Raw genomic sequence first — 26498 nt, forward strand, 5'->3', positions numbered from 1 at the left:
TTCAAGTGATTCTCCTGCCTCAACCACCCGAATAGCTGGAATTGCAGGCACACACCACCACACTGGCTAATTTTTGTATTTTTAGTAGAGATGGGGTTTCACTGTGTTGGCCAGGCCAATCTTGAACTCCTGACCTCAAGTGATCCGCCTGCCTCGGCCTCCCAAAGTGCTGAGATTACAGGCATGAGCCACTGTGCCCGGTAAATGCATTTTTTATTTAGGATATTTTCAATTTACAATAGATTCATTGGGATGTAACCCCATGGTAAATCAAAGAACATCTGTAATCTGAAAGTCATGATGCATTTACTTAAATATATTGGATTCCTAGTCTTTGCACACACAGGTTTATCTGGAACCTTGCTTATAAAGGTTCTCTGGAAGGCACTGTAGGCATAAGAGACATTATCTGCTCCTAGGTGTTCACTGTCTTCTGAATCTGGCTTGGGTTTGAAGAAAACGCCCAGACATCCAAAATCCAGTAATAATTTAAGTACCAACCAACTCCAAAAGAAATTAGAAGGTACAGTTTCTACCCCAGAGGAGAATGCCTGCTTAAGACAGATCAGGTAAACTAGGACATGACAATAGACCACATCATAGAGACCACAGACTTTAAAAATGTATGAGAGTTAAGAAAGTGATTGTCTTAAGAAGTTAAAGAATGATTTGTGTATACAGGGGATTGCTGTATTTTGAAGGAGGTATGGGATTTGGGACTTTAGAATATACATGATGCTAAGGAGTAGAACAAAAATAGTAGTCATGAAGTCTAAGACAAATGTGTGCCAGGGACCAGTCTAAGTGGAAGAGAGGATTCACTCAGACATTCGATAATATTTATTTAGCACCAATAGTGTAGAAAGCACTTTGGGACCTGTAATCCCAGCACTTCGGGAGGCCAAGGTGGGCAGATCATGAGGTCAGGAGATAGAGACCATCCTGGCTAACACAGCGAAACCCTGTCTCTACTACAAATACAAAAAAAGTAGCCGGGGGTGGTGGTGGGCACCTGTAGTCCCAGCTACTTGGGAGGCTGAGGCAGGAGAATGGCATGAACCTGGGAGGCAGAGCTTGCAGTGAGCTGAGATCATGCCGCTGCACTCCAGCCTGGGCGACAGAGTGAGACTCTATCTCAAAAAGAAAAAAAAAACTTTGGGAATGCAAATTTGATGCAAATTAAATGATGCCTGTCCTTCAGGAGCTTCAGTTCTAGTAGAAGAGTAAGTAAGCAAGATGCAAGGTATCTTGAATGGCAAAAGAAGGTACCACCGAGTCCAGCAGGAGTGCGAATGAAGGAGAATTCCTGGCTGAGTTGATGAGGGAGTGCTTCAAAGAGAATGAGACATTTAAATATGGCCTTGAAGGGACTTGGTTAAGCAGAGACAGTGGATGAGACAGAACAGACAGAAGCACTGTGGAGGAGAATCCGTATTTATCCCTACGGCGTGCCATCTATAATCTTATGTAATCATTCCAAGCAGGAAGGATTATCTCTTCGTTTTATAGGTGGAGAGGCTGCAACTCACAGATGTGATGAAACCTTGCCATGCAGATGCTGGGATTTGAAGCCAGGATGGTGTGATGCAACAGCATAACACATAAGCAAATAGTAGGGAACGTGAAAGGGCATTGAGACCAAGGGAATAAACCACATTTTGGGATTTAGCAAGGCATCTGACGAAGCCGCAATAATATTATGGTTGGATTTAAGGATGATTAGTACGGTGGGCTCGTCAAGTGGAAAGAGCAATCAGTGGGTCAGAGCACTACAGGGAAAGGAGCACGGGCTGTGGACTCCAGAAACCATCACTGTCACTTTTCTAATGTGTTAATAACTTACGGGAGAGTGAAGCAGTCACAGGACACAAAAGTAAGGAGGAAAGGGAAGTAATGCAGAGGAGGGTGGAAGCAATCACGAGTGACCCAGTGCCAAGCTGGCCACAGTATTCTTTCTTTTTAGTTGGCGGACTGAATAAAATAGAGGAAACATTTGTTGATGACCCAAATAGGTCAGGATCAGTGTCCAGAAGATTCAACCAAGTGGAGAGATGGGCTGAATATGAATAAGACAATTTAACAAGAAAGCAAAAGCCTTGGCACTTGGATTGAAAATTTAAGTGTACTAAAAAACAGCAGTTTGCTTTGCACAAAGTTCAGTATGTGCCACCCTCATCCCTCCCTCTCCCAAGAAAAAGCCTAATCTGGGGCATAGTAGAAATACGTTATTTATTTTTTATTTTATGTTTTGTAGAGATGGGATTTTGCTATGTTGCCCAGGCTGTTCTTGAACTCCTGACCGCAAGCAATCCTACTGCCTCAGCCTCCCAAAGTGCTGGGATTACAGGCAGAGCCACTACGCCCAGCCAGAAATCCATGATTTCATAATACATTATGTAAAACCACACTCTATACCCTCATGATCAGAGCATTCTGGGAGCATCCTCCATAATCGGACTCCAGGCTTGAACAAGATACAGACAAAAGAGCACATTCTGAGGCCATCAGGCTCTGAGGCCAAGCTCACAGTGGCCCCTGTGAGAGGGGCTGGAAATAGGATAATCTGGCGGGTTCCTCACCTGATAGCTAAGGACACACCTAGGGAGAGTCACAGAGCAGAAATAATAAAAAAGAAGTTGCCTTTCTGGTGGAAGGAGAGAGAGTTCAGGGATTGTGAAAGAAGAGAAAGTGGGCTATTGTGAGGGAAATGCCATGTCCCCGTTCATTTTTGTGTAAAACTAAGCTGAACCTCACAGCAAGAAGCTAGTGGGAATTCATGGCTCACAGCTAAAGCTCATATTTGCATAATAATCAGACATAAATATGGAAGAACATAGTGATTTCTCTTCAAGGAAGACTGCAAGGTTAAACATTCTAGTATGATTCACGCCAATCCTCTAAGATGTATTGGGATCAGCCGGGGAGGCAATGCTTAGCTGTTCACCCCTCCACTTGATTCTCAAGCGAGTTCTGAATGGACACCACCTCCAAGAGCTCGGACTCTGACAACTAGATCTGCTCTGAGAAAGTAGACAGAGGCAGCTGAGAAGAGCCTGGGACTCAAACCCATGACCCACCCACATTCCATCATCTGGGAGAAGGACCAGGCGGACATTTCTCTAAGTCAGGAATCAAGTTTTGTTCATTTTGTAGATTTGGCCTTTCAGACATAATTAAAAGTCCCCATGACATTTAACAAAAGTTTTCTAATTACTTTGCTTTTGTTCTCTGAGAAGCTAGGGCTGTCTCATTCCATCATGCCTGAGGTGTACATTAGATATTGTATTAAGGGTTTATTTCAGCACACTGAACAACTGTTCTTTTGAGGTGCTAGATTGTTACTGGGAACTAGATTGTTACTGGGGACTGCATGCTCAGGTAAGGATGGAAAAGTGGAAATTAAGGACCTAAATAAGTTTTAAGTTTTATTTCCCCACCACCTAGACCATAAATCTCATTCTGAAAAAAAATATAGCTGATTTTGGTAATTATTAAGACACCTCAAATTAAACAGGAAATTTTCCTGGCTCAAAGAGATATTGATAAATGACTTTTCAAAGATAGGTAAATTTTCTTACTTAAACTAACAAGATATTAGATTTAAATTTTGAGATTATAGGTCATGCTCTGTTGGTATGATAGTGTTTTATTAAAAAAACTCACATTTTATATAGTGCAGTATTTTTAATTTTAACATTTACAACAGATATTGCATTATATGAAGTCATTCTCACATTGTGGTTGAGATAATTGCTCAGGGTTGCAAAGCTAGTTAAGTAGTGAGGCTGGGAGTTAAAACACGGTCCTTTTTTTTTTTTTTCTACTGTTCCATGCTGCTTTTTCAGTAATGATTTATGATAATTGGGTTGTATTGTATTCATTTCTAGGTGAAAGTCTATTTAGTATTCATAAAACATCCCATTTAAATTTTCTACAAAAACGAGTATGTCCAGTGCCATGCATATTTGTATAAATAATAGATTTTGTAACCTTTTTCTTTGCCCTTTCTCACAACTGATATAATAGGAGCCATAAAAATATTTAGTGAAGAAACATTTAACTTAAATAGCAGGAGATAAAAGAGCAATCCAAAGTGACAGTTCTAATCAAGCATAACACATGTAAACTTCCAAGTATATTAGGTTTCAGTTCTTCATCATTATTCAGAAAAATGTCTTTGTTACATGTCTTATGAGAAAAGATTGGAGGGAAGACAGTGGAGCAGCGATTCACATTGTTTTGAGTATTGACATTGTTGGAATACAGCATAACATATTATATTATGAAGTTCCTGAGTCTGATCTTTTCAGAAATATTTCCAAAAAGAAATGGAGCAATTTTCCATTACATTTTATAAAGAAGATAATTATTTAAACATATTTCTCCTAGGAAGGGGACAGCAAATTGCACTGCTTTTTATGTGCAGACTTTATGAGGGAAAGAAAGCGATGACAGGAACTTGGAAATGAAGGCGTTTATACATTTTAGCTATAAAAAGCGTAAGAGAGAAAAATAAATATTTGTTCTGTTTAGCAGATGATCCCATATTGCAGTATAAGGCAATAGAGGTCCCTACATATAAAACGTAACTTTTTTCTTTGTCTGATTCTTACTTTTGGTCCTGAAATGCAGACGTGAATAATTAGATAACTTTTATGATGTCTATATATCTGTGGGCTTGAAAAAGATATTTCACGAAGACCAATAGACATTTGTTATGTTGTTGAATTTGCTTGAGACAAGACATCTTTCATTCATTTGTTTTCAGTTACTTGAAAGACAGTATGTTTAGCTAGCTACCTATGAATGTTGCCAAATGAGATCTAAGGAAACCATGATAGGTGAAAGACATCAGGGCTTTACATTCCTGGAGATCAGTCATGGAAAGAAAAGCCAGCTCTGAGATCAGTCAATTAGCCAGGCATGCTTAGTTTTCTCTGCTAATAGCAAGGCTTATTTTTGCCCAGTAGGGTCAAATGTTAAGAACAGTTTTGATTCAGCAGTAGTGCCCTTTAATACATTTGAATTTATTTATTTCGGAACATCTCTATACTTTCATTACACAGCAAGACATTTTCTGTTCCTTCAACATTTTTATTTGCCAGAAGTAGTTTACGACTTCATGCAGTCTACTTATTATTCATACTCAACCATGTGCAATCATAATAATTATTGATTGAACAATCTGGTCTTCATTAAAAGTATGTTAACTATTCTAATGAAATAATATGCATCATTTCTAATCTACAAGGGTTGGAAACTTTTGAATTCATAATATTGATTATGAGAAACCAAATTTCAAAAAATATGTCTATGAGGAGAAAAATAATTTCTAAAATTTATTTTTTTTAAATCAGACCCAAATTATTAAAAACTTCACTTAACTAATGAAGTTAAATGCTTGATGAAAGCATTAAGCTCTGTTGGAAATAGTTGTAAAATATTTAGTATATGGTACATCAACCCTCTTTGATACTTAAGCAACCCTAGTACCCCCAGGTCAGTGCTCTGAAGGCCCTTTAAATGGAGATAAAGATCAGAACTGACACAGGGACCCCAGGGACCAATCCTGGAAAAATGTTTTGTTTGTTTTGTTTTGTAACTAAACAAATTCCTGTGAACCCTTTGTTGTCGTTTTTCTAAATCCTTCAAAAAAAGAAGAAGCATTTGGAAGACACAACAGATTCAGGCGACAAAACATTTCAAGTTTCTGCTACAGGTAGAATCGTATGTTCTTTAGAATTTCAGTTGAAATAGATAACATATTTCCATGATGGACTTGTATTGTCTCTTAGAGACACTTACAACTTTTGTTGTTGTTGTTGTCCTTGTTGTTGCTATTTAAATAACTCTCTTCAGCACGTAGAATACATGCCAAATGTATTTGTAAATGATTTGTAATGTAATTTAAGTGATTTGTAAATGAATGATTTGTAAAATCTGTACATTGCATTACTTCGGTCCAGAGTTAGGGGCCATTTAGATCTGGTGGCTGGTGTGAATGAACATAAGTTCAATCTCTGTTCAAGGTTTATTTCAATGACCATAGATTGTGTCTCTAACTGTTGAGTCATCTCACAAATTTATGACTAAATAGGGTGTGGGCAAGAGAGAACAGATTTACAAATACTATCTCAAGGCTTGTCATCTACATACTGCAACAATATTATTAGTATTGAATTAATAATTAATTGGTATCTAATGAATATTAATATTCGTATCTAATTACTGTTAAATAGTGCTGGTGTTTTCTAGTTTATCTGTCAAATCAAAACATTAGCTTAATTTTTTTAAGTATTTCATATGGAAACAATTTACCAGCTAATTGTCAAATTATTTATTTTCTGTGCTTCAGTTTTCTCATCTGTAAGTTAGGGCAAAAGTGCCAACATGAGAGGGCCTTTGGGAAGATAAAAACAGATAATATGCAAAGTATTTAACAAATCCTAGTGTATAGTAATATCCAAATAAATGTTAGCACTAGTTATTCAAGTTTTTCAATAATTTTAAATGCTTTCCAATAGAACAGATACTAACATTCATTCAACAAATACTTATGAAGCACGTATCACATGCAAGTCCATGGTCAGATGTGTATCTGTGACTATGTTCAAAACCACTTACACCCTATTTTTAAATACTGCGCTATGTTTAAAATGTTTCCTAAGTGCTTTGCAGAAAAACCAGACAAGGCAGAAATAAGTCAAATAAGCCAAACAGGTCATCTCTGACAGCTTATGTGAAGTCTTCTTTCTAAAAGTTCGAAAATGTGGAGTCTTTCTGTGCATTCACTAAGGGAGGATGGGCTGTCAGCTGGCGGAACAGTGTGTGAGATCTTTGTAGATGACGCGGCACCATCCAGAAGGGAGGGTACGTATTGCCTGGCTCTTCTGGGGTTGACTTTATTCTTGGTGCAACCTAACAGGGATTGGTCACAGAGAGGAGTGATCTTTGCATATGATTGCTACTGGGCCCTCCACAGAGTCCAGGCCTGTCCGGAGACCAGCATTAGACAACAAAGAAGCCTCCTGAGGCTGCGAGGAGCCCGTCAGCCACTTAGTGAGCTGCCTCTGCATCTCCAGTTCTGCTGGGATCCGGGATTCTTATTATGGCCTGGCAACCTCCAGGTTACTCACAACTGGCACAAGAGGGTATCTGAGTGACATTGTTAAGCAGTAATTAGAAACAGTTGATTAGTCAGAGTGGTATTTGGTTTGACTCGGGGTAATTTTGTTTTTGTAAGTCTTGGGTTTTTTTTTTTTTTTTTGAAACGAAGTCTCGCTCTTGTCCCCCAGGCTGGAGTGTGATGGCTGATCTCGGCTCACCAGAACGTCCACCTGCAGATTCAAGCGATTCTCTTGCCTCAGCCTCCCAAGTAGCTGGGATTACAGGCGCCTGCCATCATGCCTGGCTAATTTTTGTATTTTTAGTAGAGATGGAGTTTCACCATGTTGGCCAGGCTGATCTCTAACTCCTGACCTCAGGTGATCCACCTGCCTCGGCCTCCTAAATTGTTGGGATTACAGGCGTGAGCCACCGTGCCCGGCCAGTCTTGGGTATGTTTTTAGGAGCCGTTGGACTTCAGATATAAAAAGCAAGCTTGAGCTAACTCCTCCAGTTTCCCCATTTAGTAAATGAAGAAAGCGATGTCCAAAGAGGGTGAATACTCTCCATCCTTTAAAAAGGATACAAAGCATTGTTTTTTTTTCTTTTACATTTGTTTAAGTTCCTTACAGATGCTGGATATTAGACCTTTGTCAGATGCATAGTTTGCAAATATTTTCTCTCATTCTGTAGATTGTTTACTCTGTTGATATATTCTTTTGCTGTGCAGAAGCTCTTGTTTAATTAGATCCCATTTGTCAATTTTTGCTTTTGTTGTCATTGCTTTTGGCTATTCACAATAGCAAAGATATGGAATCAACCTAATGTGTGCCCATCAGTGACAGATTGTATAAAGCAAATGTGGTACATATACACCATGGAATACTATGCAGCCATGAAAAAGAACGAGATCATATCTTCTGCGGGAACATGGATGGAGCTGGAGGCCATTAACTTCAGCAAACTAACGCAGGAACAGAAAAACAAACACTGCATGCTCTCTCTTATAAGTGGGAGCTAAATGATGAGAACTCATGGACACAAAGAAGAGAACAGCAGACACTGGGATCTACTTGAGGGTGGAGGGTGGGAGGAGGGAGAGGAGCAGAAAAAACAACTATTGAGTACTAGGCTTAGTACCTGGGTGATGAAATAATCTGTACAACAAATCCCTGTGACACGAGTTTACCTGTATAACAAACCTGCACAGGTACCCCCAAACCTAAAATACAAGTTAAAAAAATAAAATGATACAAAGGGGCCATGTTCATGGTAGCTACCAGCACAGGCTTTGGAGACTGTGCTTGGGATTTTATTCTTCCTCCTCTACCTACAAGTTTTCTAAACTTGAGAAAGTCATTATATCTTCCTGTACCTAAATTTCTTCATCTATAAAATGGGCCTAATGATAATGTCAACCTCAGAAATTGCTGTGAATAAATGAGATCTTATGTAGGTGTTTAGTAAAGGACCTGTGTAGCCTGTATTAAGTGTTCAAAGTTCTCTCATTATTATTATTGTTGCATTGATTGTTATTAATCTGGGGAGACCAACGTTAGAAATTTGAAACCAGAAGATAATAACTGACAATCAAATGTCCCTTCTTGCTCTGAAATTTTGACTCTAAACCACAATGTGTCTTTCTAATAAGCTAGATAAGTGATAGGGGAATTTTTGTGTTTAGTAACATTTGTTTTTGTTATTTGTTATTCATTTGTATGTCTCCCGTGTCAGTATTCAAAGTACTTCAGAGAATCAGATACTAATACATAAAATTTATACTTGTAATGTAAAATATTTAAAAGAATTTGATTAATTTATAAAGAATATTTGAAAGTGTTTGCGTTGGGTTTATGTTTCTTGTGACTTTAATCTGAAATGTTTAAGATAACATTTCAAAGTATAACTATGAAAAGGGAAGCTATATGTTTACTAGGGAAAATATATAGTGCTATCTTTATGACATTGAGATAGGGAAAGGCTTGCAGGTAAGAAACAAAACCCCAAAATCATGAAGGCTCGTAAAGTCAAGTTCATCAAGAGGCAAAACTTTGGTACTACCCTCAAAACTGTTTAAAATAAAAACTAAATTGGAGGAAAATATTTGCTTTATGTGTCTGACAGAGGATTCTCCTCCAAAACTTATTTCAATTATTTTACAAGTTGGTCGGGAAAAGTCAAATAACACACTAGGAAAATGTTCAAACTGTGAGAATAAGATCCGGGCATGGTGGTGCCCACCTATAATTCCAACACTTTGAGAGACCGAGGTGGGAGGATTACATGGGGCCAGGAGTTTGAGACCAGCCTGGGCAACATGGCGAGACCCCATCTCTACAAAAATATTTGTTTAAATGTAAAAATATGCAATTCATATTAGAAAAAATATAAATGGACAACAGGTACATGGGAAATAAAGGACATCTTTAATAAAAATGAGAGGAATGCAAATTAAAACAAGATATGGTTTTTATAACCAGGTAGGCAAATATTAAGAACCTAAGCACATCTGGTATGGCAGGGCTGTAGAGGAAGCAGTGTCTTCAGACACAACTGGCAGAGGGAGGTCTGAGTTGATGGGGCCATTTGGAAAAACAATCTGGCAGTATTTATTAGAGCTACACGTGCAGGCTCTATGTTCCAGCAATCCCCACTCCCTTACATCAGCTCTAGAGGAACACTTGCCAAGGGGACATGAACGAAAAAATTCATTGTGTGGTGTTTTTCTCTACTGAAAAATTGTGAAGAACCTAAATGCCTTTCAATAGAGTAATGTCTGAATAAACGACAGTATTTTCCTTTTTCTAGAATGCTAAGCAGAACTAAAAAGAAAGCGTTAGATAGATGGATGGATCTCCAAGACATGTTTTGAGATAAAATAACCAGTTGCAGAAAAATTTATACAATGGGATCCAATTTATTTTAAAAATATAGAAAGATATAAACAAATGAAGTATAGAATGATGGAGTCGTATATCTCTATGTAAAAGCACAGGAAAAGGCATGGAATGATACATGTAGCACATAGCTCTGGACGTCCCTGGAGAGACGCTGAAGGTTGTGGGACAGGCAATCAGGAGGTGATGGGGTTTTATGAGGCAAATGAATAATACAGTTGTTTTCTACCCGAGTTGGGAACAGATTAATATATAGATAGGGACCCAAATATCAGCTCTGTGACTGAGGAAGGTGATAATGGAGCAGGTGGCTTAGTTTCATAATCAAGCAGGCTTGCAGTGGTCCTGTTCCTCACCTCCTATCATTTTTTGCTCCCCTGCATTCCCTCCGCACCATCCACCAGCAGGCTAAGCTTTGGGACAGTCCATGAGAAAGGGAGCTTAGTTCTGCATAACCTCTGATTGGAGCCAGAAAATAAAGAGACGGATAGCTCAATCTTACAGCATTTTCATAGATTGGCTCCATCCTCCTTAAAAATATGAGCCAGTGGTCACCACCAACAATTAGTTAATGAGTTGCTCCTTCTCATCCCCAGGAGCAGGGAGGATGGAAGTCGTGGAACACAAGGAGCTCAAGGCCAAGGTTGCTCTCCTGCTTTTACCATTATGACTACTATTGTTCCATGAAGGTGAGTATCACTTACAAGTAACAGTATCACCTACAAGTAATGTTTTTTTAAAAAGAAAATGTATCCATGTAATACACATAAGCAAAACCAAAAGTTCAGTAGAAATCTACAATGATGTTAGGCATTTTTCCCAACAGTAGTTACTTATAAATAATGTTTTGTTTATTTATTATTTATACTTACTTATTTATTATTTATAAATAATGCTTCCAAAAATGATCCTGTTAATATAAAACAAAAATTAAGATATAAAACATGAGAAACTAAACAGCTATGACATGAATTTTCTTTTAAAAGACTGGAAAGCATTTATCTTGTAGAAATTTCAAATAAGCTTTATATCAATATGCACTCAAGATATTGAATAGCATTTGCAAAATAAATTATTAAAATGTCTGATCATTTACTGTGTGCTAGGTATCCTGCTAAACACTTCACATTTTTTTTCGTTTAATCCTTCTATTAATACTATGAGGTTGGCACTCTTTTTCAGTTAAGGAAACTGAGGCTGAGAATGGATAAATATTTGCCTGAGGCCCCGGAAAATGTTGGCCCACTTCTACTGTGTATTTATCTTACTTTTTCTTCATGCATATTCTTTTCTAACTACAGGCCCATTATTTGCTAAGCTGAATAAGAGCATTTTAAATTAAAATAAATTCAGTTGTTTTCTCGGCATATACATTTGCAGCGATTCACAAACTTCAATCTTCATCTACTGAGGAGAAAGAGTTCTTTATTCTTATAAACTATAATTATAAGCATTCAATATTTTCAGAGGAAGAAAATGTATCTGTTTATACTAAGTATTTAAAAATCACCTACGGATTTGCTCTAATTGTCAGTTTCTCCAAAATTATTATTGTTTCTTAATCTCTTAACAAGTAATTATAAATAGATGTGTTGTTATGAAAAATAAGAAAGATATTCGGTGTTTCCTGTATTTCATAAACACCACGTCATTTTCTTTATCAAAATTTCCATTGAAAGATTGTAAGAGCATTAGGCCACCTTCTGGGCTTAAGTGTGTATGAGAAGAAGCCACAACTTCTTTTCCCTCTGGATCACCTCAGGTCTTACTTTACAATGTTACAAATCCACACGAGATTAATATTCAAATCCGTGAACATATCTTTGTTTTCATTTGTGGTAAAGGATCTTTTATTGTAGGTGCTGCTTAATGCTGAATAGGCTTGAAAAAGATGTATCTTCAAGTACAGGTGTAAACAACATGTGATTTCATTAAGATAGACGTAGCTATATTGCAATGATGGCAGTTTGGTCAGTTTCATAGGTCAACAAACATCTGTCAGGGTAAGACCTCATGCTCTGAATATGCAGGCAGTCTTATAATTCTGACTATACATATGTTTATTTTTTGTAACTTAAGCAAAATTTTTTTTAGAGCCAGGCACTGTGGCTCACGCCTGTAATCCCAGCACTTTGGGAGGCCGAGGCAGGTGGATCACGAGGTTAGGAGATCGAGACCATCCTGGCTAACATGGTGAAACCCCATCTCTACTAAAAACACAAAAAATTAGCCGGGCATGGTGGCAGGTGCCTGTAGTCCCAGCTACTCGGGAGGCTGAGGCAGGAGAATGGCATGAAACCGGGAGGCAGAGGTTACAGTGAGCTGAGATTGCGCCACTGCACTCCAGCCTGGGCAACAGAGTGAGACTCCGTCTCAAAAAATAAAAAATAATAAAAATAAATAAATAAATAAAAATTTTTTTAGAAACAGGGTCTCACTCTATTGCCCAGGATGGAGCAGCAGAGTGAGACCCTGGAGTGCAGTGACACAATCATAGCTCACTGCAGCCTCAACCTCCTGGTCTCAAGCAATCCTCCCACCTAAGCCTCCCAAGTAGCTGGGACTACAGGCGCATGCCACCATGCCAGGTGTTTTAACTTGGCTTATAAACTCTATCAGATCTGTTATTACAGAGAACTGAAGTAATCCAAAAGAAAAGTATTCGGAGACTTTGAGTAGATTCTCAAAACAACAGACACCCAAATGCTGAAACATTGACGCCCTCGCTACAGTCAGTACAGGAAAATGTGAATATTATCCTGGATGCCATCATAGTGATACAAGTTGCAAAGGTGAGAGCTTGTATTTGTCAAAGTGTAGAAGTGGTTCTTCTTACATCATAAAACATGGATGCTAACATCTAGATGACTTACCTTAAAATCCCATTTTTTTCTCTTTTGATCATAATAATGCATTTTGTGGTACAAATAAGAGAGGCTATTTTCTTTGCCAAAATAGCTTGAGAGTGATCAGAGCCGAGATATGGAAACTATGGAATACCTCATATTTCTTCTCCTGAAAGCTGATTACCCAGATATCCAAATTCATTATTCTGTAGTTTATTCTCAGTGTATTTTCCTAAGATTTGGAAATTAGACAAGTTCATACATGGGGCCCAGAGTTTCAAGCACTTCCTGTATTAACAGTAGATTACAAAGATAGCATGAAAAATCGGAAAAGAATTGAAGATGCCAACTAACGCACCTAAAAATCAATTTCATGAACTTGTCATGTTGAAAAGTCAAATAGAAAATAATTTATGTGTGATATCAGTACCATCTTTTCCTTTTTTTCTTAAAACAAAAATTTCCCTTTTATTTAAAGAAAAGAGAAAAATAAGAGAAAATAAAGTATATGAAGAATCACACTCAGAAATTGCTTCTTCCTGTCGTGCCTCAGGGATGTGAAGCAAAAAAATAACAGGCATATTGATCATAAAGCTGACAGGTTATTGGTGACTCTAAGAGATCTATTGTCCCATCCCCAACTAGCAGCAAAAGTTCTGATGACATGTGAATTGATATGAAATCAGGTTTCATAGTGATTTCAAAGAAGGTTTTCAGTTTAGTTCAGGGCTGAAGGAAATGTCTGTTTCTTTGGAGAGGAAAGATGATGTGACATAGTGATTGAGTCTTGAACCAGGGGCCAGAGTACGTGGGTTCTTCCCTCAATCTCACCTCTTGGGTTCTTTGTGACTTGCTATCTCTGATCTTCCATTCTTTCCTTCTTAAAGAATAGTGCGTGCCATGCCTGCATCAAAAGAGTCTTGCGAGGAAGATCCAGTGAGGAAATGTGTATAATTGCCTAATAATATATAAACAGTACTGTGCAAGTAGAAGGTGTCATTAATAACATCAGAATGCCTTTGCGATTACAAATGTGGGTGACACTGTGTGCATGAGTACTGCAGGATGTGGCGTCCAATCACATGGTGGCCCTCCCCGGTGACTCAAGAAAGGATGCACATCTCAGCACTGAAGGAGACCTGATTTTTCTAAAGTGAAGAAGTAAAAATGATGCCAGAGACCAAACTGCAGTATAACATTATTCATGGGGGAGTCTGTATCACAGGACATTTAAAGGGAGAAAACTTACGTATAAAAAAAGAAAATGTGCTTTCAACTAGAACAGCAAGAAAAATGATTTTTTTTAATTCCAGTAAAAATTTAAGCCAAAACGAAACAAGAGAAACTTCAGGAGTCTACCAATCCTAGTTGTAATCCTTTTGAAAAACAGGAAAACTTGAGAACAAGAGAACAAACAAGGTAGAACAAAGTTGTTTTTACTGGTCTAACATCCTCTGTAGTATTAATTAGATACATGAAACACCCAGAAGGAGAACTAAGTGAGAGAAAGAGAAGGAAAGGCAAATTTAAAGGATGTGACTCCTGTTCTGTGGAGCAGACTCGCTTTAGCATCCTCTTCTGTTTATTAAATATTGTGTGCAAATGTCTGGGGTGCCAGCTACGTTATGGAGTTCTTGGAGATATGTTCTACAGTGATCTTTCAGATAAAAGCCCTTCTTTTTTAGATGAGAAGTTTAACTGAGTTAACTAAGTTTTAATCAATTAATTTAATCTTGTCCTACTTGGACTAGAATTTAGATGATGTCCTGATTTCTCATCTTTTTGCCACCTTTCATGGTTTTTCACATTTATAAGATAAGATCATTTAATTATGGGACAGTGATTTCAACTCATTTTTGGATTCGTCTAGCCATCTACACTCAAAATCGTAGTGTGGCACATACCTCTAATATTCATATATAAGCCCAAATTAACTATATCGTAATAATTTTGTTATATCCCTTGAGATACAATATACAAAAGCAAGAGATAGAATTTATGGTTGTATTTGCCCATGTGAAGTTACTGAAGTTTGAACAATAAATAGCTAACAAAAATAAATTTAAAAGAATTTCAGATAATTAAACTCAACATTATTTTAAGGAGCTACAGTGGCAGGGATTCCAGGCCAAATCACATTGTAAAGATAGATAGATAGATAGATAGATAGATAGATAGATAGATAGATAGATAGACAGACAGACAGACAGACAGACAGACAGACAGACAGACTGATTTGGGGGGAAGTGGGAGCAATTTGTCAGAACGTAAAAGAGAACTATTTGAATTCTGTCAAATCATTTTACCTGGGGAACACTTAGATGTTGGAGGATTACCTTTTCCTTTGGCTTCAAGAGAAAATAGGCAGTGTTTTCAGCAAACATCATGATTTTTGATCTCTCAAAGCCTTTGTATTGAGAATACAGATGATATATTTGTCTCTATTTTGTACTCGGATCTGGAATTTCCTAGAATGTTACCTACAAAAGATTTAGATATAAATATCTTGAAGAACTTTCAGCACAAATGTCAAAATTTTTTCTTTGTCACCTGTTTACCAATTACAGTATCATCACACTAAACACAGACTCAAACTTCTCTTCATTCCACTATTCCAGAATGGAACACAAAAATGGTATATTTTGATCTGTATTTATTGCCATTGATTAATGTGGCATTCGCAAACAATCCCATTTGGGCAGACCATGTTTGCATTTTAATTTCATTGCAATCAACGTAATGAAGCTATTGATCGTTTCTTCCATTTTCCCTTTCATTTGCCTCTTAAATTTGAACCGCAGCCCTTTGTGCCTCAATCTGTTGTCACAGATGGAATTTCTTAGAATGCATTTCCTGTTTCTCTGAAGCAGTTAGAATCGAAAAAAATCACTTCATATCATACATTTAAATTCCACCAATAAAATCAAAACTTTTATGAGTCATTATGCAATTGTCCCATAGAGTAAAAGGTTCAGCTGAAAAGTGATATGTATTATTATTTCATTGCAACTTTATAAAACTTTCCTAGGAGAAGTCATTATTTATTTAAAAATAAAAAGCAGTGGAAGTCTCTAAAATATTTTTTACACATTTCAGGCTAAGGTTTAATATTCATACATGTGTACACACACACAATGAATATTTAGAGGTAAAATTTCTGAAAGAAACATTTTTATATTAAAAAGGAAGGGACTTCTGATTATGAACATGACTAAATAACAGGTTTTGAATGTAGCTACTGAAAAGTAATGAACTCTCAAACTGGACAAAAATGATGAAGTAACTGTTTTCAGACATTGGACAACTTACCACAAAGGGCTGTTGTCCATTCAAGATGGAATCACAGGCAGGCAGACACACCTTGCCTTTAGCTTTCTGCCTGGGGCACTTTCCACACTGTGGTGTAAGGCGTTCACCCAGATTGACAGCAGTGGTCTTGCTGGGTGGAGGGAACAGTAGAGTTCAGGGCCACTGACGCAGCTATAATTTTTGAAGAGGCATATCCAGAGAGGAAAAAGCTGCACGGAAGCGTAGCTCTAGAAATCTGCATATAGGTTCTTTTGAGTCATTGGCATGCACATGTGAAACTCCATGATTTCTGGCAGAGAAGGGCTATAAGAGGCTCTGAGTTGAACTGGGACACTGCAGGTTCCACAGTGCTGAGGGGCACTGGCGTTCTGACCTGGCAGAGTGGAGTCATTTCACGTAATACCTCAGGCATTCTGTTTTGAAATCACAGAAAAGCCACACCTTAAAAGTAGGACTGACAACCAAATTAAAAAGTGAGCCAAAGACTTGAATTAGAGAGTTCATTTTAAAAAGGTATACATATATGAATGGTTAATAAGCACATGAAAATTTGCTCAATACCAGTAGTTATTAGAGAAATGTGAATTGAAACACCAGTGGCCTATGTACCACTATACACCCATTGGAGTGGCTGTAATAAGAAACAAGAATACCAAGTGTTGGCAAGGATGTGGAGAAATGGGAACCATCATGCATTCTGATGGAAATGAACATGGTATATCCACTTTGAAAAACATTTTGCTGGTTTATTGAAATGTTATACAAAAATTTATCATTCAACCTAGCAAATTCACTCCTAGAAATCTAATCAAGAGAATTAAAAACATATCTACACAGAGATATGTACATGAATGTTCACCACAGCATTATTTATAATAGCCAAAAGCAAGTAAAAATCTAAATGTTCATCAACTAGTGATCAGATAAACAGAATGTGTGTATCCATATAATGAAATTGTAAACTCAGTTATTTATAATAGCCAAAAGCAAGTAAAAATCTAAATTTTCATCAACTAGTGATCAGATAAACAAAATGTGTGTATCCATACAATGAAATTGTATATTCAGCAAGTAAGTAGAATGATTACTGGCATATGTATTAATATTACATATATACATATTAATAATACATATATACATATAATTAATAATAAAATGTATTAAACTAGAAAAAATGCTAAGTGAAAGAAGCCAGACACAAAAGACTATTAAATATATATGCAATGTCTAGAAAAGACAAACTTATGAAGTCAGAAGGCAGATCAGTGGTTGTCTTGGGCTGAAGATAAGAATTGAAATTGACTGGAAACAGTGTGAAGGAACTTTCTGGGATGATGGAAATGTTCTTACACAGGATTGTGGTGATGGTGACACAATTCTATAATTTCACTAAAACCATCAAATTGTTAAAAAAAAAAAAAAGGCGTATACTAACCATACGGTAAATGCTACCTAATAAAGCCTAAAGTCAGTTGATTCACCAGTAAATTAACTGCCTGCCAGAATAAAACTCAACACTAAAGAAAGGCAACAAAATCCAAACTCTCAGCAACATAGCAGCTGCAATATCCCATATGCGATGAAAGTTACTAGACATGCAAAGAAGCAAGAAAATGTGACCAAATACCCAGGAGAAAATAAGTTGAAATAAACAGACCTGAGATGACCCAGATGATGAAATTATGAAATAGAAATTTTCCAAGAGTATTATAAATTTGTTTCAGGATTAAAAGAAGAGCATGAGCATTTTTTTTTTTTAGCGAAAAGATGAATTTCAGCAGAGAAATCAAAACTATATAAATTAAATACATGGAAAATCTGGAACTAAAAAAGTCAGAAATGAAAAATTCACTGGATGGGCTGAATAGCAGATTGAAACATGCAGAAGGAAGTATCAGAAAACTTAAATATAGAGCAAGAGAAAATCTAAATTTAAATACAGAGAAGAGAGATTTCTTAAAAATGAAGAATTTCAGTGGTTGGTTGAAATATTATCAAGTGGTAATCGGGGTCATAGAAGGAGAGCAGAGTTCAGAGCAGAGGACACATTTGCAAAAATAATGGCTGAACATTTTCCAAAGGTAAAAATTACTGCTATAGTTTGGATGTTTGTCCCACTCAAACCTCATGTTGAAATTTGATTCCAATACTACAGGTGGGGGTCTAATGGGAGGTGTTTGGGTCATGGGGGCAAACCTCTCATGAATGGATTAATGCCCTCCCTGTGGGGTGGTGAGTGAGTTCTCCCTCTGTTAGTTGCACAGGAACTGATTGTTAAAGAGAGCCTGGCACCTCACCCATCCCTTGCGTCCTCTCTTGCCATGTTATCTCTGCACATACCAGCTCCCCTTTGCCTTCCGTCCACCATTACTGGAAGCAGCTTGTGGCCCTTGCTGGATATAGATCCCCAATCCTGAACTTTTCCAGCTATCAGAATCATGAGCCAAATAAATCTTTTTTTTTTTTTTTTTTAAACGGAGTCTCACTGTGTTGCCCAGGCTGGAGTGCAGTGGCATGATCCTGGCTCACTGCAACCTCTGACTCCAGGATTCAAGTGTTTCTCATGCTTCAGCCTCCTGAGTAGCTGGGATTACAGGTGTGCACCACCAGGCCTTGCTAATTTTTTTGTAGAGATGAGGTTTCACCATATTGGCCAGGCTGGTCTTGAACCCCTGACATCAAGTGATCTGCCTGCCTTGGCTTCCCAAAGTGTTGGGATTACAGGTGTGAGCCACCATGCCTGGCCATAAATCTTTTTCCTTTATAAATAACCCTGTCTTAGGTATTCCTTTACAGCAGCACAAACAGACTAAGAAAATGACTACTAACATCTCATTAAAAGCAATACAAGACAGCCTATCAGGGACTAGCATCTTTAAAGAGTTGAGTTATCAGCCTAAAATCTTACATCTAGAAAATTATCCTTTAAAAATAAAGTCTGAGATATTTTCAGTTAATAAAAGTTAAGATCATCTGTCACTTATGGATAACAATATAAATGTCATAAATAAGATATTAGTTAATCAAACCAAAGTGCATCTTTAAAAAATGACAAGCCACAACCAAATGGGGTTCATACCAGTGATGCAATGATATCTCCATATTAGACAATCTGTTGTTTTACCATATTAATGTTACAAAGGTGAAAATTCATCATATCATCTTCATGGAAACTATAGAGATTTTAGATATGTTCCTTGAGCTTTCAAAAATATTAACAAATCATGAATAGATCGATACTTTCTTAACAAACACACACAAGTTTCTAGGACCACCACCATGTATAAGACAGCCAGGGGAAAAAAAGAGAAATGAAAAGTAGGAAAGGAAGAAGCAACTATATTGATATTTGTAGATTCTGTGATTGTACACATGAAAAACATAAAAACAAGTGAATTTGATAAGATACGAAGCTAATATCAAAATTCAGTTAATTACTTATATCAAAATCAGAACTTAAAATGACACCACTTATAATAGCTATAAGATTACAAGAAATAAATATAAGAAATATATAAGATCTATATAAGGTTTTCAAATGCTAATGAGTAACATAAAAATATTATCCAAATAGAATGGTATGCCTTATTCCTGAGCTGATAGATTCAATATTGTAAAGTTCAATTTTCTTAAAATTAAATCACAAGTTTAATGTGATCTCAATAAAAATACCAGAGAAAAAAATTGCTTTTGGAATTAAGTGAACTAATTCTAAGTTCAGTGGAAAAATAAATAAGCAAGAAAAAACAAATAAATTCTGAAGAAAGATTAATAAACTGTTCCTGTCCGTACTCCAAATATTATAGGAAATAAAACAGTTTATTATTGACAAATATATATCCCTATAAATGGGCACAACTACAGAGTATAAAAATAGATAAATATATGTTGAATGTATACTTTGTGTATAATAATATTTGAATTTCACATCACTAGAGAAATGATGATTCATTTAGTAGATAACGGTGGAGTGTTTTAACAGCCAATCAAGAGAAAAATTAATTTGAACCCCACCTTACTCCTTTCACCAAAATAAATTTCAGATTGATTAAATATTTAATATTTTTTAAATGTTTAATAAATCATGAAAATACCAGTAAAAAGACTGGATAATTATTTTTAATAATATGAGAGTTAAAAAAACACTTTCTAAACACTACACAAAATTCAGCAACTATAGAAAAAGACTAATAAATTTGATGACATAGAAATTTTTTAAAAATTGCATGGATAAAAAATACAACATGCAAAATGAGTTATAAATGGATAAAATACCTACATATTGTTAGAAAATATTAGAAAAGGCCAATAATTCAAAGGAAAAATGAACAAAAACATGAAATAGTTCATAGGAAGAGACATGTGAATGAATTTGGCATCTTTGAAAAATGTTCTACCTCATTCATAAGTGAAATGTCAACTGGAATTTCTGTACAGTATCCATTTTCCACGAACGATTAACAACAACAAAAATGTTTGTGCACTATTTGAAGGACTATATTGAGTAATAATTAATTTCATGTACTATTAATGACAGTAAAATCATTAGTCTGACCAATTTGGAGAACAATTTGGCACTTTCTATCAAACATGAAAAATGCATATTTCTGGGAATTTATTCCATTTCTAGGAATTTATTCTTATTGACATATTCACATGTGGGAAAAATGTGAACAATGATATTTATGTCATTATGTGTAACAGCAAAAGTTGGAAGCAAGCTAAATGGCCAAATAAGGAAGAGATTCAATAAACTGTAAGATATGCCTTCAATGGAATACTATGGAGTCACTGAAAGAAAAAATAGTAAGGCTACTTACATTGTATTGTTGTGTTGTGTTGTGTTGTATTGATATGTTGCTGAAATATACTAAGTAAAAAGGAAAGCAAATTGTAGAACAATGTGTATATTATGCTACCTTTTCAGAAAAACTATAAATATGTATGCACACATCTCTACTCTTATCCTTTATGCAGATTTATGCTGCCAACATTTGTACCTTCTGGATACAGGACTTGGGAGTAGTAGGAACGGGAAGAAATGGGACAGGCTGAATCTTCACTCTATTTATAAAACCTTTAGTTCCTTTTGAATTATTTACCGTTCATATGTATCATTTTTAAAAATAGAAAATAAAAATGTTCAAAGTTGAATAAGCGGGTAGAAACATTTCAGTGGCTTTCCGTTGAATCCAGAACAAAAGTTTCTTTCCAGAGGTTCAGGCCCTCCTTGAACTGGCTCATTCCCGTTTCTTAAATCCCACCTTGTTCCTCCCACCTCCTCTCACTCCGCAGTTTCCAACTCTATTGACCTTCTCTCAGTTCCTTGCACAAGTCAGTTTTGCCGCTTTGGAGCCTGTGCACTGCTTGCTTTCTGCCTGCAACTCTTTTGTCCCAACTCTGCATTATCGGGCTCCCTCTCTTTCTTATTCTTTTGGCTTTGGTGGTCACCCATTCAGAGAGACCCTCCTTAGGCATCCACTCTAACACAGAGCCCGTTTTTCTTAGTCTTTTCTTGTGGCACCTAATTCCTTCCTTTCATACTCAATTTCTTTATCTGTTGGCTCTTGTAGTGTTTTTCCACACCCCTCCCCAGGATGGTAAACTCCTTGAGTTACCATTTCTATTTTATTCTCTTGTCGACACCTGTAAGAGTACCCGACACATTGCAACTGGGTTGGAATGCTAACATCTCTTGAATAAATTAATTCACCCATTTAAGACCAAAAGTTTGTATTACAAGTTAGCAGGAATAAATGTCTTACTGATTGGTATATGGGTGTAAAAATATGGCCCTGATTTTCAGTATTTAAAACTCTCAAGATGCCAAATATTTTCTACTGCTTTCTAAGCTGAACTTCCAGGCACAGCTGGCATATGCATATTTCTTGACAATCTCCAAGTTTTGATAACCAAATAAGAAAAAAAAACAGCACAGAAAAATATAATTTTGGCTGTTACTAAATGGGCTAATAATACCAGTAATAGTATTTTAAAAATTCTAAAAAATGTCTAATTCTCACAATAGCATTCTAACAGTAAACTAAGAGGTAAGCTAATATATTCAAGATACAGAGCAACCACACTTGTTTAGGAGCACTGTTACTTTGTCTACATTGATTTGTTAAAACATTGTCCGTTGTCAACCAATCTAAAAAGGACACAATAGGCTAGGCACAGTGGCTCACACCTCTAATCCCAGCACTTTGGGAGGCCTAGGTGGGAGGATGGCTTGAGCCCAGGAGTTCAAGATCAGCCTGGGCAACACGGGGAGACCCCAACTCTACAAAAACTTTTTAAAGAAATTAGCCAGGTGTCGTGGTGTGTGCCTGTAGTCCCAACTACTCAGGAGGCTGAGGTGGGAGGATTGCTTGAGCCCAGAAGTTCAAGGCTGCAGCAAGCCTGATTGTGCCACTGCACTCCAGCCTAGGCAGCAGAGTGAGACTCTGTCTAAAAAAAATAAAAATAAAAATAAAAATGAATACAATTTTTAAAATAAATAAAAAGAACATAATAAAATATGTCCAGAAATCAATAGTCAATATCGTTTGATTAATTTTGCCAAAATCCAATACACGGTGTAGTTACAGAGCTGAACTTTAATAATAGAACCAATGTAACATGGTAATGCTTTTCATATTTTAAACTACTTTCCTAAATGTTATCTCATTTGATGCTCACTACGAAAACACAATAGAGATCATTTTGGCCTGTGCTTTTGTAAAATTATAGAATATTAGACCTGAAAAATATATAATGTCATTTACTTCTATTCTTCATTTTATAGATGAGGGAACTGAGGCCAGAAAACATGATAAAGTATGTTCCATTCTCACAGCTAATTAGGGGCTAGAACCAGGATCTCAGTCCTCTCTTGGGCCACTAGACAATTGCTAACTATGCTTCTGCAACACCTTCATATCATATGACTGACTTCTTAAGTGTACAAATTAATTTTAGGATTTAAATCAATTACAATATTTCTTTTTAAAACATGGAATATGGTTCATCCAAAAGATAATCTACATCCCACTACCCATATAGAACCATTATTTTTATTTTTGGATATTTTCTTCAGTATTTTTCTTTGATTTGTATGTTTCATAGAAATGTGTGTGTGTGTGTGTAATTTTTTCACCTCTCTTAAGTACATATTTTTAAATTTTTAAATGGATACACAATATTTGTACATATTTATGCAGTACATGTGATATTTCATTACATGCATAGAATGTGTAATGATCAAGTTAGGGTATTTCCATCACCTCAAGCATTTATAATTTTTTTGTATTGGGAACTGATATGGTTTGGCTCTGTGTCCTCACCCAAATCTCATGTTGAATTGTAATTCCCAGTGTTGCGGGAGGGACCTGGTGGGAGGTGATTGGATCGTGGGGGCAGATTTCCCCCTTGCTGTTGTCGTGATAGGGAGTGAGTTCTCATGAGATCTGATGGTTTAAAAGTGTGTGGCACTTCCCTCTTTGCTCTCTCTTCTGCCGCCATGTGAAGACGCGCTTGCTTCCCCTTTGCCCTTCCTCTATGATTGTAAGTTTCCTGAGGCCTCCCAGCCATGCTTCCAGTACAATCCGTGGAACCATGAGTAAATTAAATCTCTTTTCTTCATAAATTACTCAGTCTCAGGTAGTTCTTTATAGCAATGTGAGATTGGAGTAACACAGGAACATTTTAAGTTCTATTTTGAAACATACTTTTTTTTTTTTTACAATACAGCTAAATGTTTTGTAAAACATTTAAAAAATGTTAGTCCCACACAGTCATGTAACTTCAAACAGTAAGCTCATCACCTAATATTATTGCATCTGCCACTTAGAAGCTGTGTGACTAGAAGCTCCCTGGGCCTCAGTTTTCTCATCTGCAAAATAGGGATAATAATAGTGGTAATTTTATAGAGCTGTTATAAGGCTTACTCAGCCTCCCAAAGTGTTGGGATTATAGGCGTGAGCCACAGCAGCTGGCCTATGTAATTTAATTATATGCTTTTTGCTTAACATATTATTCTTATATTTTTATTATTCCTGAAAGTTTTTCATTATTATAATTTCAATACTTAGTCAATATGCTGCCTAATGAACATAGTGTAATTTACTTATCCTATTTCCCATTTTGGACAGTGAGGTTGTTTTCACTTTTTGCTCTCATAAATAATTCTGAAGAAAGCATTCCATATGAATATTATTGTCAATATCACTGATAATTTCTCTAGGATAAATTCCATGAAGGATGATTACAGAATCAATGCGATAAATATTTTTAACACTACTGACTCATATTGTCAAAATGTTTTCTTAAAATGTTGTGACAATATCATTAACCGTGTGCAGAAAAACAGTTTTCAAGGTCTTATCCTCATTAGATGTAGTCATTTAAAAGTAAATTGCTAAATTAATAGGCTAAAATGGCTCCCAATTGTTCTTTCATTTTGCATTTATTTGCTTATTAATGAGATCAAACATCTTGCAATTTGTTTGTTTGTGGAATATCGTTTAAAGCTCAATTAATCCGCTATGTTTTTTAATGACAAGCTAAGACACTACAGATGAAAAGCAATGGAAAGCAGAGATGTTTAGTGACCCCCTACTACGGTGCTAAGTATTTCAAATATATTGTTAGGTGCATTAATATGCAAGTTATGAGAAAGAGACGAAGCAAAAGTCACAGACTTGAGTGCATAATACGACAAATACTACTTCAAACTGGCTCAGTTTTAGAACTTAAGGGATTTTAATTCTTTTTCATAGTTTTTACTAACCAAAAGCTTTAATGAGAAACAATTAATTCAATATTAAAAGGAAATAATAGGTAGCATGAATAGCTTTTGCATGATGGGTCTAGAGAAGTGTTAAGTAGGTACATGTGGCAATTGAGTCCTTGAAATGGGGCTGGTCTGAATTGAGATGTTCAAAAATACATATGTGATTTTGAGGACTCAGAACAAAAAGAAGAGAATGCAAAGTATATCATTAATGATGTTTATTGATTATATGTTGAAATGTAAATATTTTAAAATAGTGGATTGAATTAAACCTATTAAAATTAATGTTACCTATTTCATTTACTTGTATAATGTGACTTCTAGAAAATTTATAATTGGATATGTGGCTACCATTGGCCAGCACAGGTCTAGGGAATTATATGATATCAGATTTTAGGAAGGAAGTTATAAAATTTTAGTTCTTCAGGAAGAGATCTAAAGGAGAGTACAGAGAGAGAGAGAGAGAGAGAGAATCTACCACATAACTAAATTAAGTAAAGGGAGTGCTACAGCACTGACCATTATGACCAACCAGGAGGTCTCTGATAAACTCAGATATTTATTCATAAATTCAGATTACAAAGAGCCTACCACAAAGGACAAACAGGCCGGACGCGGTGGCTCACAGCTGTAATCCCAGCACTTTGGGAGGCCGAGGTGGGTGGGTCACTTTGAGGTCAGGAGTTTGAGACCAGCCTGGCCAACATGCTGAAACCCTGTCTCTACTAAAAATACAAAAATTAACCAGGCATGATGGCGGGTGCCTGTAATCCCAGCTACTTGGGAGGCTGAGGTGGGAGAATCACTTGAACCTGGGAGGTGGAGGTTGCAGTGAGCAGAGATCGCGCCACTGCACTCCAGCCTGGGCGACAGAGCGAGACTGTGTCTCAAAAACAAACAAACAACAAAAAACATAAGTAGCTGTTGTCAGGACTCTTACAACAGAATGAGGTAGAGGAAGCCAAAGGGCTTTGAAAGCTACATTCAGAGCACAAAGAAGAGCCAAAAAGGACAGACACTGCCAGGGGAAGCTGGGAAAATATTAATATAAAGAAAATCAAATTATGCAATTCTTATTTTGTCTTTGTCCTCTATAAAGAGGAATGATCTTCAAACTAGAAAAGAGAGATGAAATTTCCTCACAAGAAAAACTGAATTCAAGATAGAAAAGGATACTTAAGAGAATATCAAGTTGTTAGAAATACGTTTTCATCTCTGACTCCAGATAAATTATATTTCTTGGTCATGAAATCATTGATAGGCTTTGGCACTTGACTGGTTCCAAAGTTGGACGAATCTAGCTACTAGACGAGTTCCCTGAGAGCATGGGTCTGATCTCTTTCATTCATTGCTGTATTCCAGCATCTAGAACATTTCCTGGTATAGAGTAAGTGCTCAATAAATATATGCAGATAAATACATGAACAGAGAACACAAGAGTGGCCAGATTAAAACAGGGAAATGTTCTGATTTCAAAATGGGGAAAATAAGGATTCTGACTTGTGTAGATACCCAGGCAACATGCAGGCAAGATGTCAGCGGTTAAAAAAATTTTAGAATGGATTAATT

General features: G+C 36.5%; 1 protein-coding gene across 3 annotated transcripts in view; it reads left to right on the forward strand.

Moving 5' to 3' along the window:
- The window catches only part of HIVEP1 (HIVEP zinc finger 1), a 204356-nt gene that overhangs the window by 161291 nt on the left and 16567 nt on the right, over positions 1–26498 (forward strand). For all 3 annotated transcript variants that reach the window (XR_007059258.1, XR_007059259.1, XR_007059260.1), the window contains one exon: positions 10598–10690. The gene's annotated coding sequence lies outside the window, so the exon portion shown is untranslated. The remainder of the gene's footprint in view (positions 1–10597; positions 10691–26498) is intronic.

Source organism: Homo sapiens, chromosome 6 (assembly GCF_000001405.40).
Source record: "Homo sapiens chromosome 6, GRCh38.p14 Primary Assembly".
In the NCBI taxonomy this organism is placed as follows: Eukaryota; Metazoa; Chordata; class Mammalia; order Primates; family Hominidae; genus Homo; species Homo sapiens.